We start from the raw sequence: 17,508 nt of genomic DNA, 5'->3' as shown, positions 1-17,508 counted from the left end.
TTGCTTTTCTGTATTTCTGCTTTCCTTCAATGAATGTATATTTTTTGCAATTTTAAATTATAATTTGCTATAAAATAAGAAATCAGTGATTTTTTTGGCCTCCCAGTAGATTATCTCTTTTTACAGTAAATATCCTAATTAGGATCCTTTATTTCTACTGTAACCTTGTACTTTGATTTCACTTTACACTTTATGTTTTTTGGTACAGTTGCATATCACTCTGCAAATTGTAGTTGTGTTCATATCCTGCCTCCACCATTAGGTTGTAAGTTTCCAGGAGCCCTATCCACAAACATGGCTGCCCACTGCAGGATACCCAGACAGTAGGATGGACTGAAGGACAGCAGAAGACTGAAGGACAGAATGCACACACTGAGACGAATCATATCATAGAACACGTCAGCCCTTCATTCTTGTTAATTAGGAACCTAACAACAAAACCCCCACATACCATGCCCTTGGACATTTTAGTTGAAGTCACACTAGGAATCAAACTAGCCATCCTTGATGCCTGCCACATACTGTGCAACTAAATGCTTTCTACAAAGCTGCCACCACTCATACAATCCTCTCTGCAACTGCTGAGAGCACCATGGGCTCATTTTGGTTTTTTTGTTTCATGTTTTGTTTTAATTACTTCAGAATAACTTGCATTCAGATCAGAAAAAATGTTTCATTTGGTTCCACCTGAATTGCTTGAAAGTGCACCTTTTTCTGAGCTCCCTGTCAACCCAGTGGTCTGTTATTTTTTTTTTTTCATGGACCATACGTGAGACTTAATGGTCTGCTATTTCTAGGATATCTCCTGGGGCTAATGAAAGTGAAGGTCAACCCATGCTGCCTGTGCAGCCTCCTACAGCTGCACATGAGGAGTACAGATCTCTTTTATGTCTAGAAGAGTGGCATGTGAAATTTTCTTTTTCAATCTCAAGCCATGGAGATGGGTTTTAAATCTCTCTGAAATACTGGGTGATTCTTGGGCTCTGTAATATAGTAACAGAAGCAATTTTCTTGTTGAGGCTCAAAATCAAGAAGGAATGAATTGTATCAAACTCTTCAGTGTGCTCCAGTGCACCTCGCCCCCTAGAATGTAAGCTTCATGAGAAGCAGGGACTTGTGTCTGTTTTGTTCACTACAATATCACTAGTACCTATCACAGTACCTGACACAGAATGATTGAATACATGAATGAATGGAGCAGTGTGGGGATGGCTGAGATTTTAGAGACATCAGGAAGCTTCTAATCCCCAAATAATCCTTTCCCACTGACAGATTGAAGCCTGTAATTCTAAGATCAGAACTTAATCCATTTGCCTTAAGGTTCTTATTTTACTTAAAATGAAAATGCCATGTGCATTGATAAGAGAACAAATTGATACGACCTTATTGAAAAGCAATTGGGCAGTTTATGAAAACATAAAATGTTCATACCCTTTCACCCAGGACTAGCTCTTCCAGAAACTTAACCTCCAGAAATACATGCATGCAAAGATGCTAATTGTACTGTTATTTCTAACGGAGGAGCAGAGAGCAAATAACCTAACCTAACCTAACCTAACCTAACCTAAATATCCATCTGCAGAGGATTGGTTAAAGAGAAGAAATTTAATCACTGACTCATGTCTTTGACCAATGTCAAGGATTCTCCAGGGCCTTAACCCCTCTCTCCTTCAAGGTGCTTCTGAGAGGCATGAGCCTGTTACTCAGTGGGGACGACGGAGAAGCCTGAGAGCCACAGAGGGCAAGAGTCATCAATGAGCGACTCAGAGCCCATATGGAGCTGAATGACAGACAAGTGAACCTGGGAGGATCTTAAGGGGGACATAAAAGCATTTTATGGTAGCTATAAAACAAGAGTAAATTTGTATGCAGCTTCATATTTCTTAATTTATAATATAATGTAAAGTATATTTAAAATGATAGGTTATTATGAATTGAGGAGTATATGAAAGTTAAAAGTGAGTGTATTAGCCAGGTTCTCCAGAGAGCAGAACTAATAGGAGGGGGGGGGGGGCAGATTTATTATGAGGAACTGGCTCATGCAATTAGGAGACTGGGAAATCCTATGAGCTGGCATCTGCAAGCTGGAAACCCAGGAAAGCTGGTAGGTAGTTCAGTCTCAACCTGAAGGGCTGAAAACCAGGGGAGACAACGGTGTAAATCTTATCTGAAGGCATACGATGAGACAAGATGTCCCAGTTCAGGCAGTAAGGCAGGGAAAAGAGGGCAAACTCCTCTTTCCTCTGTCTTTTGTTCCATTCAGGCCCTTAACTGACTGGATGGTGCCCACCCACACTGGGCAGGCCAATCTATTATACAGATTCTGTCTATTCAAATGCTAATCTCCTCCAGAAACCCCTCAAAGACACAAGCAGAAATAATATTTAATCTGGGCAGCCCATGACCCACTCAAGTTGGCACATAAAATTAACTCTGTGTGTGTGTGTGTGTGTGTGTGTGTGTGTGTGTGTGTGTGTGTATGGAATTCTGGTGTTCAGCTTTTGGAAAAACTAAGAATCATATAAAAATAACTAAAAATTGCCATTATTTGAACTTATTTTGTTAGACATCATAGTTGAACTTATTTTGTTAGATATCAAGATCAAACTTTGCTTATTTAAGTAATTAGGAAGAAAGTCATACTGCTAAAAACTGGTTAGCAGCTAGCATACATTTGTTGTTGTTGTTGTTAATAAGAAGTAGAACGGGCTGGGCACAATGGCTCATGCCTATAATCCCAGCACTTTGGGAGGCTGAGGCAAGAGTATAGCTTGAGCCCAGGAGTTTGAGACCAGTCTGGGCAACATGGTGAAACCCCATCTCTGCAAAAAATACAAAAATTAGCTGAGTATGGTGGTGCACACCTGTAGTCCCAGCTACTTGTGAGGCTGAGGTGGGAGGATCACCTGAGCCCAGGAGGTTAAGGCTGCAGTGAGCTGTGATTGTGCCACTGCACTCCAGCCTGGGTGACAGAGTGAGATGCTGTCTCAAAAAATTAAATAAATAAATAAAAAAGAAGTAAAATATACCAAATATTTTATAAGATGAGGGTTGACTGCATTGAAAGAAAATATTTCATAATATGAGAAATATCTTATTGAATATTGCACACCACCCACAACAAATCATGTAACTTTTTAATCTGCTGGTTTTATTTAGTGTAAGTTGAAGTGTCAGTGATTCTGGAAAATATTACAGTTATATTTAAAATAATAAGCATCACTAACCTGCACTGCTACAGCTGTTTGAAGGATGTTTCCTTCCCAGCTAAAAACATGTCTCAGGAAAAAGAACCCTTATGTTTTAGAAAATCATTCTGAAATATCTACAAATGAAAAGATACAATGTTTTGCTTCAAAATCATAAGGTAATGGTAAGAAACCGTATACTTTACCTCTGTGATCATCCTTCCCTAACCCATAATCACTGTCTAATCATGAGAAAAACGTTAGACAAATCCCAACTGAGAGACATTGGCATTAAAACTATGGAAAGTCTGAGAAGCTGTTACAAACCAGAAGAGTCTAAGAAGACATGACCACTAAGTGTAATGTGGCATCAGGATGAGATCTGGGAAGAGAAAAAGAACAGTAGGGAAAAACTGGTGAAATCTGAATAAATTGTGCAATATTAGTTAATACTAACATACTAAAGTTGGTTCCTGAGTTGTAATAAATGTATTATAAGAGTGTAAGATATTCACAGTAAAGGAAAATAGGCAAGGTGTATTTGAAAATTCTGTACTATCTTTTGCAACTTTTGGTAAATCCAAAGCTATTCTAAAATAATTTTTTAAAAAGAATCATGGATGGCTGGGCATGGTGTCTCACACCTGTAATCCCAGTACTTTGGGAGGATTGCCCAAACCCAGGAGTTCAAGACTGACCTGGGTGACATGAGGAAATCTTGTCTCTTCAAAAAATATAAAAATTAGCCAGGCATGGTGGTGCACATCGTGGGAGGCTGACGTGGGAGGATCACTTGAGCCCAGGAGGTCATGGCTGCAGTGAGCCATGATTGTGTCACTGCACTCCAGCCTGGGTGACACAGCAAGACCCTGTCTCAAAAAAAAAAAAAAAAAAGGCCCCAGTGTGGTGGCTCACACCTGTGATCCCAGCACTTTGGGAGGCCAAGGCAAGAGGATCGCTTGAGCCCAGGAGTTCGAGGCCAGCCTGGGCAACACAGCCAAACCTCGTCTCTACAAAAAATACAAAAATTAGCCAGGCGTGGTGGCATGTACCTACTTGGAAGGCTGAGGCAGGAGGATCGCTTGATCCCAAGAAGTCGAGGCTGCAATGAGCCGTGATTGTGTCACTGCACTCCCGCCTGAGTGACACAGCAAGACCCTGTCTTTAAAAAAAAAAAAAAAAAAATTTTAGACTTCCAGGTATTCAGCATAAATCACATTGTACAGTTTAGGTACAATGAGCCATCATTATCAAGGGATAGTGTTATATCGATGTAGAGAATTATTTACCAGTCAAGTTCCCAATGCCAGCCAAAGGCCAATCTTGTGAACAGGACTTTCTAAGGATAGCAAGCAGGCCTGGGCACCAGTGCACACACATAGCATACAACTTTCTGGGGTGTGACAGAGATATTTCATAATTCATACCCTCCTCCTGTTGTGGAAGTTATCCCTACAAACCTCACTTACAGACATCATCTACTATTCTGATTCAGAGATACATGTCTGAAGGAGGAAGGGAACACCTGTGAGATATGGAGAGCTGAGAAGAGGAAGCCTTGAGTTTCTCAATGAGCATAGCTGAAAATCAGCCCGGAGCTCTGCACTATCATTTTTGTTTTTTTCCTTCTGTACATGGGACTTTAGTTCTGAGAAATCTATCCTGAGGATAGAAGAGGAAGAGAAGGGAGAAGAAGAAAAATGAGAAAGAAAAGAGTGAGGCCTTTTGAGAGGATGGAATAGAATCAGGTTAGCTCAATCGGGTTGTGAATATCCAGGAAGCACTGTTGAGTTCAAGCTTCCTAAAATATGTACAAGTGGTGATGTCCGGTAGGCAGGCAGACTCTAGAGCTGGTAAAGGGCTGTAGGACACAGAGCCTCAAGTGTTCATTTTCTTTTCTTTTCTACTTTTTTTGAGACAGAGTCTTGCTCTGTCGCCAAGGTTGGAGTGCAGTGGTGCGATCTCGGCTCACTGCAACCTCTGCCTCCTGGGTTCAAGCAATTCTCTGCCTCAGCCTCCTGAGTAGCTGGGACTACAGGCACCGACCACCACGCCCGGCTAATTTCTGTATTTTTAGTAGAGATGGGGTTTCACCATATTGGCCAGGCTGGTCTGGAGCTCCTGACCTCAAGTGATCCACCCACCTTGGCCTCCCAAAGTTCTAGGATTACAGGCATGAGCCACCGCGCCCGGCTGAGTGTTCATTTTCGGGTTTTTTTTTTTTTTTTTTTTTTTTTTTTGAGAAGGAGTCTCACTCTGTCGCCCAGGCTGGAGTGCAGTGGCACGATCTCGGCTCACTACAAGCTCCGCCTCCCAAGTTCAGGCCATTCTCCTGCCTCAGCTTTCCGAGTAGCTGGGACTACAGGCGCCCCCCACCATGCCTGGCTAATTTTTTTGTATTTTTAGTAGAGATGGGGTTTCGCCGTGTTAACCAGGATGGTCTTGATCTCCTGACCTCGTGATCCGCTCATCTCGGCCTCCCAAGGTGCTGGGATTACAGGCGTGAGCCACCGTGCCCGGCCGAGTGTTCATTTTCAAATGAGGTAATACATACGATTACAGATACACTGCAACACGCCAGCATTGAGCTTTTTTGTTAAACTCTGTAAATATCTTGTGAATAGTGTATTTGTACGTATGTTAAAATAATTACTTGAGCTTCTGTCCACTCTGTTTGGCATTTTAAAATCTTTTCAGGCCGGGCGCGGTAGCTCACGCCTGTAATCCTAGCACTTTGGGAGGCCGAGGTGGGCGAATTGCCTGAGCTCAGGAGTTTGAGACCAGCCTGGGCAACATGGTGAAACCCCGTCTATACTAACATACAAAAACAAAAAAACAAAAACAAAAAAAATCAGCCGGGCGTGGCGGTGTGCGCCTGTAGTCCCAGCTACTCAGGAGGCTGAGGCAGAAGAATTGCTTGAACCTGGGAGGCAGAGGCTGCAGTGATCCGAGATCCTGCCACTGCACTCCAGCCTAATGACAGAGCGAGACTCTGTCTCCAAAAAAAAAAGAAAGAAAGAAAGAAAGAAAAGAAAGAAAAAAAAGAAAAAGAAAAAATTTTTCAATAAGTTGGATTTGGTGGTGGCAGGAAATCCCAGCTACTCGGGAGGCGGATGCAGGCAGATTGCTGGAGACCAGGTGTTCAAGGTCAGCCTGCACAACATAGTAAGACCTCGTCTCAAAAAAAGAAAAGAAAGAAAAAATATTTTTAATATGCAACAAGCCTCAAAAAATGGAAGTGGTCCCCGTTTCTCTTAATGTCTTGGAGGCCAAAAAAAGGTACTGGTTGGTGAAATACACATATAGATATCATCAGTACCCAGATGTTAATTAACGCCAAGGGAGTGTAAAGGGTCGCCCAAGAGAGCGACTTTACGGGAAAAGAAGGCTCTGGAACCAGAACATTTAAAAGACTCACTGAAGGAGAGGCGCCTACAAAGGATGCTAATCAGGAATGGCCAAAGAGATGGCAGAAAAACCAAGTGAAATGGTTAGGGAAAGATGGGGGAAAAAAACATAAGGATAACTCAAGCCAATAGTGCATTTTAAGAAGGGTATTAAGGCCGGGCGCTGTGGCTCACGGCCGTAATCCCAGCGCTTTGGGAGGTCGAGGCAGACGGATCACCTGAGGTCAGGAGTTTGAGAGCAGCCTGGCCAACATGGCGAAAACCCTGTCTCTACTAAAAATACAAAAATTGGCTGGGCATGGTAGCGGGCGCCTACAATCCCAGCTATTCAGGAGGCTGAGGCAGGAGAATCCCCTGGACCCGGGAGCTGGAGGTTGCAGTGACCCGAGATCGCGCCACTGCTCTCGAGCCTGAGCGACTGGGTGAGACTTCATCTGAAAAAAAAAAGAAAAGAAAAAGAAAAAAAGATTAATCAAAGTGTCAAATATTTCTTTCTTTTTCTTTTTCTTTCTTTTTTTTTTTTTTTTTTTTGAGACGGAGTCACACTGTGTTGCCCAGGCTGGAGTGCAGTGACACGATCTCGGCCCACTGCAACCTCCTCCTCCCAGGTTCAAGCGATTCTCCTGCCTCGGCCACCCGAGTAGCTGGGATTACAGGCGTGCACCACCACGCCCGACTAATTTTTGTATTTTTAGGGGAGATGGGGTTTCTGCATGTTGGCCAGGGTGGTCTCGAACTCCTGACCTCAGGTGATCCACACGCCTCGGCCTCCCAAAGTGCTAGGATTACAGGTTGTGAGCCACCGCGCCCGGCCAATGTCAAATATTTCGCTGATTTTCCTCGGTCAGCACCACCACAATAATTGTGCCACCTTACCCATGCAAGGTTTAGACATCTCTTTGACTCTTTTACAGGGTTTTATACTGTGGTTTCCATTATTTCCTCTAACTAGACAGCAGAAGCGGCTTACTCATTTTTCTCTTCCATAGAGTCTTACTCCGATCGTTCAATTAATATCAGTGGAATGATTTAAAGAACATTTGAAAAACCACTCGGACAAAACCCTCAGATTCGAACTTGTTCCAGCAGCCAAAAATACCCGCGGGCCACGGCTACACTGCGCAGGCGCAAAGGCAGATGGGCTTTCTCCAGAAGGGCTTTGCATTTGGCGCGAAATCCCTTTCCGTGGGCTGGGGCTCTTGGAGAGGCGCCGTTCATTGGTCAGGTTTGGCGCGAAATCTCCAGCTCCTGTGTCACGATTGGTTCCGGCCGTGCAGGTCGGAAGAGGGGGCGGGGCGGAAGCGGCGGCGGCGCGCGCAAAGCTGCAGCGTCTGGAAAAAAGCGACTTGTGGCGGTCGAGCGTGGCGCAGGCGAATCCTCGGCACTAAGCAAATATGGACCTCGCGGCGGCAGCGGAGCCGGGCGCCGGCAGCCAGCACCTGGAGGTCCGCGACGAGGTGGCCGAGAAGTGCCAGAAACTGTTCCTGGACTTCTTGGAGGAGTAAGTCGGCGAGCGCCCCGGGCCTCGCCCGCCTCCGGAGCCTGCGGCGTCTGGGCCAGGCGGTGCCGTGTGGGCGGCGGGTGTTCCGGAACCTGGGGGTCGCGCGTCCGGGAAGCGCCTCCCCGCCCGCCCCCCAACTTTAGGCTCCGAGCCCGGCGGCCGCGAGGAGCCTGGGACAGGCTGGGTTTTTCTGGAGTAAAACCCATCTCGAGCCCTAAGACGCTCGTGCCCAGTGCTCAGCGCTTTGCTTCTGTCACTTGATGCTCACCACCCCGCGAGCCTGGTATTTGCACAGCCCTCGGTGACCGGCGCGGAAACCTGGGCTCGCTGAGTATAGTAACTGGGCCGCTGGGTGCGGCCAGGTCGAGTGGGAGGCCGAAGTGCCATTGAATCTCGTCGGTGCCCTGCTGGGCCACGCAGCCGGGAGCATGGTGCTGGGGGTTCGCAGGGCACGGGCCACCCTCGCCTCTTGTGCTGATGAAAGTTTCTGCGTCAACTGTGGTTTGAAAGCTGCTGGGGGGCGGAGCCCTGCCCTGCAGAGAGTAGCTCACCATATCCCTTCTTCTGGGTCCCTTGCTCCCCTTTCCCTCTGGCCTTCCTTTCCTTTCTCTACTCTTCTTTTTTTCTGTGCCTCTGGGCTCCTAGCTTCATAACCCCAACCTCCTCCCTGGCTTGCCTCACCCACCGGTTATTTTTCCTGGAGCAGATACACCACGGCCTCCAGGATGAAGGGTCAGCAGTTTGGAATGGCTTTTGAAGTTCTTTTTTAGTAAAATATACATAACAAAGTTGACCATTTTAGCCATTTTTAAGTGTAGAGTCCAGTGGCACTAAGTGCATTCACCTCGTTGTGCAGCCGTCACCACTCTCCCATCTCCAAACTTTTTTTTTTTTGAGGCGTAATTTAGCCCTTGTTGCCCAGGCCGGAGTGCAGTGTCACCATCTCAGCTCACCGCAACCTCCGTCTCCCGGGTTCAAGCTATTCTCCTGCCTCAGCCTCCCTACTAGCTGGAATTACAGGCATGCGCCACCACGCCCGGCTAATTTGGTATTTTAGTAGAGATGGGGTTTCTCCATGTTGGTCAGGCTGGTCTTGAACTCCCGACCTCAGGTGATCCCCCCGCCTGGGCTTCCCAAAGTGATTACAGGCGTGAGCCACCGTGTCCGGCTCCAAACTCTTTTCATCTTCCAAACTGACATTCTGTGCCCATTAAACACGAACTCTCCTCCGTTACCCTCTCCCTCAGCCACCGTCACCCACCACTCTGCTTCCTTTCATTATGAGTTTGACCACTCTAGGTACCTCATATAAGTGGAAGCGTGTAGTATTTGTCCTTTTGTGTCTGGCTTGTGTAACATAATGTCTACAAGGTTCCTCTGCGAGGTAGCATGTGTCAGAATTTCCTTACTTTTTAAGGCTAAATAACATTGTCTGTACACATTGAGTATCCCTTTTCTGAAACGCTTGGGACCAGAAGAGTTTGGGATCTTGGATTTTTTTTTCAGATTTGGAATGTTTACATTATACTTAACCAATTGCATCCCTAATTTGAAATGCTCCAGTGAAAATCATGTCAGCACTCAAAAAGTTTCAGATTTTGGACCATTTCATATTTTAAATTTTCAGATGAGGGCTGCTCAACCTGTATATATACTGCATTTTGCTTATCCATTCAGTGGACACAGGTTCATTCCACCTTTTGTCTATTGTGAATAATGAGGTTCATTCCACCTTTTGGCTATTGTGAATAATGCTGCCTTCTTAGGAAATTTTGGTATACTTAAAACCATAATTTAATTTCCATTTCACTACCTATGGCAATGTTATTGTCTGCCTGATAGTTCCTCCTTCAAAGCCCAGCTAAAAACTCACACCTTTGTGAAACCTTGTACACCTTTTTGAGAGGCACTAATCCTTTCTTCCTTAGGCTCCCAGGGTGCTGTTTGTTTTTCATTATCTCTGGCAGTGTAACACATTTACCTCCTAGCTACTTAGTCTGGAATTCAAATTCCATCCTCAACCCCACCTACCCACCACATCACATTACAAAGGTTTTTCAATAAACGTTTCATTTCAACAAATAATCTAAGTGCCTTGACTTTGCAGCTAGATGATAATGATGAGACAAATAATCTCTGTGCTTTGTTTAAAGAAATGCCAACTCCCTGTCACAAAATAAACTTTAATTCACCATTGCTTGTGGAATAAAGTTCAAATTCTTCATCACTCCTCTTTCCTGTTTGTCTTACAAAAACACCCCAGTCATCATCCACACTTCTCCCCTACCTTCTCTGACTTAATCACATTCTTGGAATCATCTAGTCAGTCACTTCACCACCTGTTTTTATTTGAAATTTTTAACTCTTTCAGAAGCTGAATTCCAACGCCACCTTTTATATGTATAACTTGTAGTTGTTTTTTTAGGCAGAATTAGTTTCTATTCCCCTAGCACATTTCTTGTTCTTCTCATTAACAGGAACATCTTTCTTGTCTGTCTTCATTGCTTACATGTCTAACTCCCTAGACGCAGACAAAGTGTTAGTTAACCCTAGGGCAGGAACAACACTGCCATTTTCAGCCTCAGGTACCTCTGTTATAGGGCTTTGCACGTAGTTGTTTAACAAATATTTTAAGGAGTCAGAACATGCTGTATATGGAGGAGAAATTGATTTTTTCTTAAGGCGAATCTGCATATTATGTTTGAAAGAACAGAAATAAATTTGTATGATATCCTGCTTGGGCTTTAGAAGCAAAAATACCAGCAGCTTTATTTAGTGTGCCTGTTTCAATTTTCCCGAAGTCTTGGGCTGTGAAACACCTCATTTCCATGTATTCTTATTTCTGTTCTGCTTCTTAAATCCCTGACTAATTTGTTAGTTTGCAAATTCCCTACAGAAATGGAATCATTGGGTTTGAGACTGAATTTCTTGATTTAACATTTTCCAATCTTAATTATACATGACAGTAGTAAAAGAAGAGTTAGTTGTTGGGTTTTTTTGTTAGTTAGCAGTTAAACCTCACAATCATGGTGGAAGGCAAGGAGGAGCAAGTCACTGATGTCTTACGTGGATGGCATCAGGCAAAGAGAGCTTGTGCAGAGGAACTCCTCTTTTTAAAACCATCAGATCTCGTGAGACTTACTATCAGAGAACAGCAGGGGAAAGACTTGTCCCCATGCTTCAATTAACTCCCACCAGGTGCCTCCCACAACATGTGGAAATTCAAGTCGAGATTTGGGTGGGGACACAGCCAAACCATATCAGAAGGGAGGAGTAACTTGCCCCAAGTTACAGAACTGCCAAACATGGGCCTGTCTGAGCCTAGTTGTTGGACTTTAACCAATGTTCTGAATTATCATTCAGGTTCTTTGTACTGCCTGTGTCCTTAATCTAGTTGACTCGAATGTACCTGCAGGTTTCAGAGCAGCGATGGAGAAATTAAATACTTGCAATTAGCAGAGGAACTGATTCGTCCTGAGAGAAACACATTGGTTGTGAGTTTTGTGGACCTGGAACAATTTAACCAGCAACTTTCCACCACCATTCAAGAGGAGTTCTATAGGTATGGGCATATTAATCTTCTTTACTTTGAATAGGGGTTGAAATCCGGGAAGCCAGCTCTTCTTGGACTGTAAGTGTTCACTTGTGTAGCAGAAGGTCAGCTTTCACAGTTATTTCCCACTGAGAAGAGGCGCTTTGATACTGCCAGTGGTCGTTTTAGTACTGCTCTGAACTTCATGTAGGCCTTTGTAGAGCCGAACGTTTTTTTGTTGTTGTGTTTTGTTTGTTTGTTTGTTTGTTTGTTTTTTGAGACGGAGTCTTGCTCTGTCACACCTAGGCCGAAATGCAGTGGCGCGATCTTGGCTCACTGCAACCTCTGCCTCCCGGGTTCAAGCGATTCTTCTGCGTCAGCCTCCCGAATAGCTGGGATTACAGGCGCCCACCATCACGCCCGGCTAATTATTTACATTTTTTAATAGAGACGGGGTGTCACCATGTTGGTCAGGCTGGTCTCGAACTCCTGATCTCAGGTGATCCGCCCGCCTCGGCCTCCCAAAATGCTGGGATTACAGGCGTGAGCCACCGTGCCCGGCCAGAGCTGAACTTTTTTTTTCAAATACAAATGTTGAAAATCTTTGCTTTCTATATAGTTTTCCCAAGAGGAAAACTGTACTTACTTACTTTTGTGTCATTCCATTGATCCTTTTTCCCCACAGGAATAGGTGTTTGTGTGGGTCCTTTTCTTGTACTGGGGATATCTTTACAGCATTGACGTTGTTGTACTTCTTGTTCCCTTAAAGTTTAATTTTGTTTTCGCTTATAAAAGTAATAGGTATATATTGTAGAAAATGGAGAAGAGTAAGGAGAATTAAATTGCTTATACACTTGTAATCCACCACCGTCATTAGCAGATCTGCTACAACAGAGTTCCAGGAGCCTTCCAAGTCTGCAAGTGCAGAGTTTTGTAAGGATCTTCTGTCACATTTTGATGTCTTTGTGTGTATGCTGTGTATGAAATTACTCAAATTCATATAAAATTTCTTAAACTCATACTAATAGCTCCAATTGTGGTTTTTTGGTAGAAATACTATGGTTAGACATTATATTTAATAGAAGGCTTTTATTTTGTTTTGACTTGTTATATATAGCAAGAAACATCTTTGCACACAAGACTTTGTATTAGGATTAAATAAATGTGACAGTCTATAGAAATAGAATCAGGTTAAAATAAATTGTGGACAGTTGTGAAAGATAAATGAAAACCCAGGGATAAGGAGGCACAGTCTCGTTCATTTCTTAGTAGATTAGGAGATGGAGGATTTGTCTGTGTTTCTGGTCATAGCTGATGATCAAGAATAATTGGAGGGGGTAAGTAAGCAACAGGATTTATTGTGAAAGCATGCAGCAGTAGAAGTTATAGCACTGACAAATAAGGGAGAGGTAGACAATCAAGCCTGGTGGTAGAAGCAGCTGTGCCATGCCTCATGCACAAGCCAGGCAGCAGTTCTCTTTCCTGAGAGTAGCGCCTTTTTTAGAGGGTTTCAGACCCCACTTCTTAAACAAACTAAGCTGGAGTAGGTATTAGAAACATATCAAAAGGACATGCATACTTCACTCTCACCAGTCAAATGGAGCATTTTTGCCAATTTGTTCTCACATTAGTGCACAAATACTTCTCCTGTCCTCATCCATTTCTTATCAAACCAGCCAGATGTGGTGGCTCACACCTGTAATCCTAACACTTTGGGAGGCTGAGGTGGATAGATCACTTGAGCCCAGGAGTTTGAGACCAGCCTGGACAACATGGTGAAATCCCATTTCTACAAAAAAAACCCCACAAAAATTAGCTGGGCATGGTGGTGCATGCCTGTAGTGCCAGCTACTCAGCAAGCTGAGATGGGAGGATCACCTGAGCCTAGGTAGATTGAGGCTGCAGTGAGCTGTGATCGTGCCACTGCACTCCAGTCTGGGTGACAGAGTGAGACCTTGTCTCAGAATGAAACCAAAGAAATTGACTGACTTGACACATGACTTACTAAGTCATAAACAGCCCACAGAAAATTCACAGTATTGAGCATAATATTGACAAGATGATTGTTCAGCTAGTCATCTTGGACAGAGGAATGGCCAACAGTGTGGGTGCTGTATGATTATTTATGTGCTATATGATAATCAGGTATGGTATGACATTTTATATTTAGTGTTCCGGTGGGATAGGAGAGAACTGAAAGAGGGTCCTAAACCTAGAGTAGATAATAGAAGTGTCCTACACAGTTAAGTTCTAAGGTTTAGTTGTAACCAGATGAAATTCCTTAATCTCGGCTGTTGGTAGGTATGTAAAGGGAAGGAGGCCTTGGTAAACCTCTAAGGTATCAGCTGACTTTTTTGTTTTTCAGAGTTTACCCTTACCTGTGTCGGGCCTTGAAAACATTCGTCAAAGACCGTAAAGAGATCCCTCTTGCCAAGGATTTTTATGTTGCATTCCAAGACCTGCCTACCAGACACAAGTAAGAAACCCTTCTCTGGAAAAAAAGGAATTCACCAAATGGTATAAGTACCACTTAGCTGACAGTCAGAAAACTTGAGAGGTTGCCTTGATCTGCTATTAGCTGGCTATTTAACATTATACAAATCACTTTTACCTCCCTGAGCCTCAGTTTCCTTGTCTGTGAAGTCTTTTGGCTTAGGTTTTCTACCTAAATCATGCAAAAAATAGGTTTGTTGCTGTAAAATTACTTTTTCATAATTGATAATCACAATAATTATAAAACAAGTACTTATAAAATTGATGCTGTAAAATACCAGGAGGAAAAAATAGTGGTTTGCATTCAGATTTTGTAGAAGGTTGACTTTTGTAGGAGTTATACCCACTTATCCAGAAAGTTTAGTGTTGGAGAAATGTATTTTCCTATGGAGATGGGATTAGATGTAAAGGGAGTGAAGCAAATTTTTAGGATTATCACATTTTAGGGCGCCTTTTAGGGAAATTTGGGAGAAAATTGATCAAGGGAGAAAATATGAAATTCTAGAAATTCCTGAATCTCTGGAAATTTTTGTTGGTTTAAATGCATAATTTTCAAACACCCCTTTGGCAGTTATTTTAAGAATAAATTTACTGGATAAAATTGAAGTGATATTTTGAAAAGTTAAACTACTGAAATTATAAAATTACCAAATTACTTCACATAAAATGGGTTTGTAAAGGAAGTGTTTCTGAACTTTGAGTACAAAATTTTTTCTCATGATAGGATTATTATGTAACACATGCTTTTTTTTTTAGAAATTGCGGGTAAGCAAAAAAGTATTTGCATATAAAACAAAAACAGGATCATTCTGTTTTTGTTTTTTTTTTTTTCTGAGACAGAGTCTTGCTCTGTCACCCAGGCCAGAGTGCAGTGGCACGATCTTGGCTCACTGCACCCTCCACCTCCCGGGTTCAAACAATTCTCCTGCCTCGGCTCCCCGAGTAGCTGGGATTACAGGCGCCCGCCACCACGACTGGCTAGTTTTTGTATTTTTAGTAGAGGTGGGGTTTCGCCATGTTGGCCAGGATGGTCTTGATCTCTTGACCTCATGATCCGCCCACCTTGGTCTCCCAAAGTGCTGGGATTACAGGTGTGAGTCACTGCGCCCAGCCCGTTCTGTTTTATAATTTTAATTTTCATTTTTTTGGCATCCTTTAGTTCATTTATATATTTTGTTCTGGATACATATACGTCATATAATTTAGGATTGGGCACGTTGACTAAATTATTCTTATAGGAGAGTCCAAAGAATACCTTGTCTCTTGAATTTTTTTTTTAAACATAAATTATCTTTGAATACCCTCTCACTAAAATGGAAAGATTCTTAGTTAAGAGATGAATGTTTACTAATGGGACATTTGTCTTTAAACAGGATTCGAGAGCTCACCTCATCCAGAATTGGTTTGCTCACTCGCATCAGTGGGCAGGTGGTGCGGACTCACCCAGTTCACCCAGAGCTTGTGAGCGGAACTTTTCTGTGCTTGGACTGTCAGACAGTGATCAGGGATGTAGAACAGCAGTTCAAATACACACAGCCAAACATCTGCCGAAATCCAGTTTGTGCCAACAGGAGGAGATTCTTACTGGATACAAATAAATCAAGATTTGTTGATTTTCAAAAGGTATTTATTTAACATCTGTTTAGATCAGAGTCCATCTATGATAATAATTCACTTCTAGGCCCTTGCAATAGCTTATTTAGATAATGTTCAACTCAATTTTTATGTAAGTTAAGCATCATCAAAATGACTACAAAGTTAAGCCCAAAACTGTTCATGTAAATTATAATTGTTAGTATATACATTTGTTTTAACTTTCAGTAACTTGGAAGTTCCTTAAGACTGACAAGATGTATTTGTCAAAGAATAAATGGTAACTAGGTGGTGGTGGTTGTCATTATGAACTGGAGTTAAGAAAACTTAAAGAAATAGCAACTTGTTAGTGTAAGATTTCCATTTGCTGCATAGAAAGGAAAGCATGAATAGGACAGGCTAGCTTGGAAGCAATGAGGATTATCATGATTGAAGTAAAGGAGCCAAATTGGAGATCATCTGAGAGATGATTTGATGTGAGACCTGGAGGTACTTGGATCCCTAAATCTTAGGCTGAGGAGTTTGAGCCTATCTTAATAAGCAGTGGGAATATAGTGGGAAGGTAGTTTGTGTGTGTGGGTGTGTGTTTGTTTTGTTTTGTTTTTTGTTTTTTTTTGAGACAGTCTCTCTCTGTCACCCAGGCTGGAGTGCAGTGGCGCGATCTCGGCTCACTGCAAGCTCCGCCTCCTGGGTTCACGCCATTCTCCTGCCTCAGCCTCCCGAGTAGCTGGGACTACAGGTGCCCACCACCACACCCGGCTAATTTTTTGTATTTTTAGTAGAGACAGGGTTTCATCGTGTTAAACCAGGATGGTCTCGATCTCCTGACTTCGTGATCCGCCTGCCTCTGCCTCCCAAAGTGCTGGGATACAGGCGTGAGCCACTGCACCCAGCCTGTGTGTTTTTTTTTAAAAGCAAACTGAATAAGTCCGTGATGGGTTTAACAGAGGGTAATAGGCAATTTCAGTTACCTGGGCAAGAGGTGATGGATGGCAGTAGTAAGAATGAAGGGGACCCTCAGATTTCAGCAGGACTTAATTTTATGGGACATACAAAATGGAAAGAAAAGCTGAAGCAGCTCAAGTATGGAATAATTATTATCAGATGAATTTAATATTATTTATATTGCTCTGATAATCATTCTCCTTATTTGGCTTTCTTACATTAACCTGGTAGCTTATAAGATGCACATATTTTACCAACAGCTTTGGGTAGGAGATGTCTTATCTTATAAAGTATGAATCTAGATTGGGTCTTAGTTTGGGGGGGGGAACACAACTGTATAAAGGACACTCTTGACAAGACATTTGAAGATGGACTAGATAATAGAAGATATGTAATTTTATGAAATTAAATATTGTTTAATTATCTTGGTTGTGATAATGATATTGTAACAGGATTGTCTTTATTCTTAGAGATGAATGCTAAAATATTTAGGTATGAAGTTTCTTGATGTTCACAACTGTGTTCAAATACATAGTAAAAAAACATGTATCTGTAAATAATGTTAGCAGTTGTGTTGAAGTGGAGGGTATAAAAGGTGTATTTGAAATTTTCTGTAAAATTATCTTAAAGCTTAGGAGAAGATGGAGCATGGAACAGATATTTGGAGTCATTTTGAACAAAGAAAAAAATTATTTTTTAATGAGTAAAAGTGAAGTTTTTTTTTTCTCTGCTGCTTGAATCATCATGGAGTTTTTAAATAGATGTAATCTCTTGCCAAATTGAACTATTTGACTAAAAGGAGTTTTAGAGTAGATAATTTTTAGGATAAATGTTGGTACATGTGAAAAG

At 42.6% G+C, this 17,508-nt stretch overlaps 1 protein-coding gene across 1 annotated transcript in view, besides 4 other annotated features; it reads left to right on the top strand.

The window, feature by feature from the left end:
- Positions 7,638 to 7,697: an enhancer, noted in NCBI's record as "active region_16579". NCBI's record gives its function as "activates an Ori minimal core promoter by ATAC-STARR-seq in GM12878 lymphoblastoid cells {active_cell/tissue: GM12878}" and the evidence as "EXISTENCE:reporter gene assay evidence [ECO:0000049][PMID:35858748]".
- The window catches only part of MCM6 (minichromosome maintenance complex component 6), a 36,818-nt gene continuing 27,221 nt past the window's right edge, over positions 7,912 to 17,508 (top strand). Inside the window, exons 1-4 of the mRNA NM_005915.6 lie at positions 7,912 to 8,096; positions 11,512 to 11,658; positions 13,994 to 14,104; positions 15,495 to 15,744. Of these exons, the coding sequence (NP_005906.2) occupies positions 7,990 to 8,096; positions 11,512 to 11,658; positions 13,994 to 14,104; positions 15,495 to 15,744 (615 nt within the window). The 5' untranslated portion in view covers positions 7,912 to 7,989. The remainder of the gene's footprint in view (positions 8,097 to 11,511; positions 11,659 to 13,993; positions 14,105 to 15,494; positions 15,745 to 17,508) is intronic.
- Positions 8,158 to 8,317: a silencer, noted in NCBI's record as "silent region_11983". NCBI's record gives its function as "represses an Ori minimal core promoter by ATAC-STARR-seq in GM12878 lymphoblastoid cells {active_cell/tissue: GM12878}" and the evidence as "EXISTENCE:reporter gene assay evidence [ECO:0000049][PMID:35858748]".
- Positions 8,287 to 8,822: an enhancer, noted in NCBI's record as "H3K27ac hESC enhancer chr2:136633103-136633638 (GRCh37/hg19 assembly coordinates)". NCBI's record gives its function as "activates a minimal SCP1, AML or CMV promoter by ChIP-STARR-seq in primed H9 embryonic stem cells {active_cell/tissue: H9 hESC(primed)}" and the evidence as "EXISTENCE:reporter gene assay evidence [ECO:0000049][PMID:30033119]".
- Positions 8,388 to 8,517: an enhancer, noted in NCBI's record as "active region_16578". NCBI's record gives its function as "activates an Ori minimal core promoter by ATAC-STARR-seq in GM12878 lymphoblastoid cells {active_cell/tissue: GM12878}" and the evidence as "EXISTENCE:reporter gene assay evidence [ECO:0000049][PMID:35858748]".

The sequence above is a fragment of the Homo sapiens genome, chromosome 2, assembly GCF_000001405.40.
Source record: "Homo sapiens chromosome 2, GRCh38.p14 Primary Assembly".
NCBI classification, from domain to species: domain Eukaryota; kingdom Metazoa; phylum Chordata; class Mammalia; order Primates; family Hominidae; genus Homo; species Homo sapiens.
This window is presented reverse-complemented; position numbering and strand designations above follow the sequence as displayed.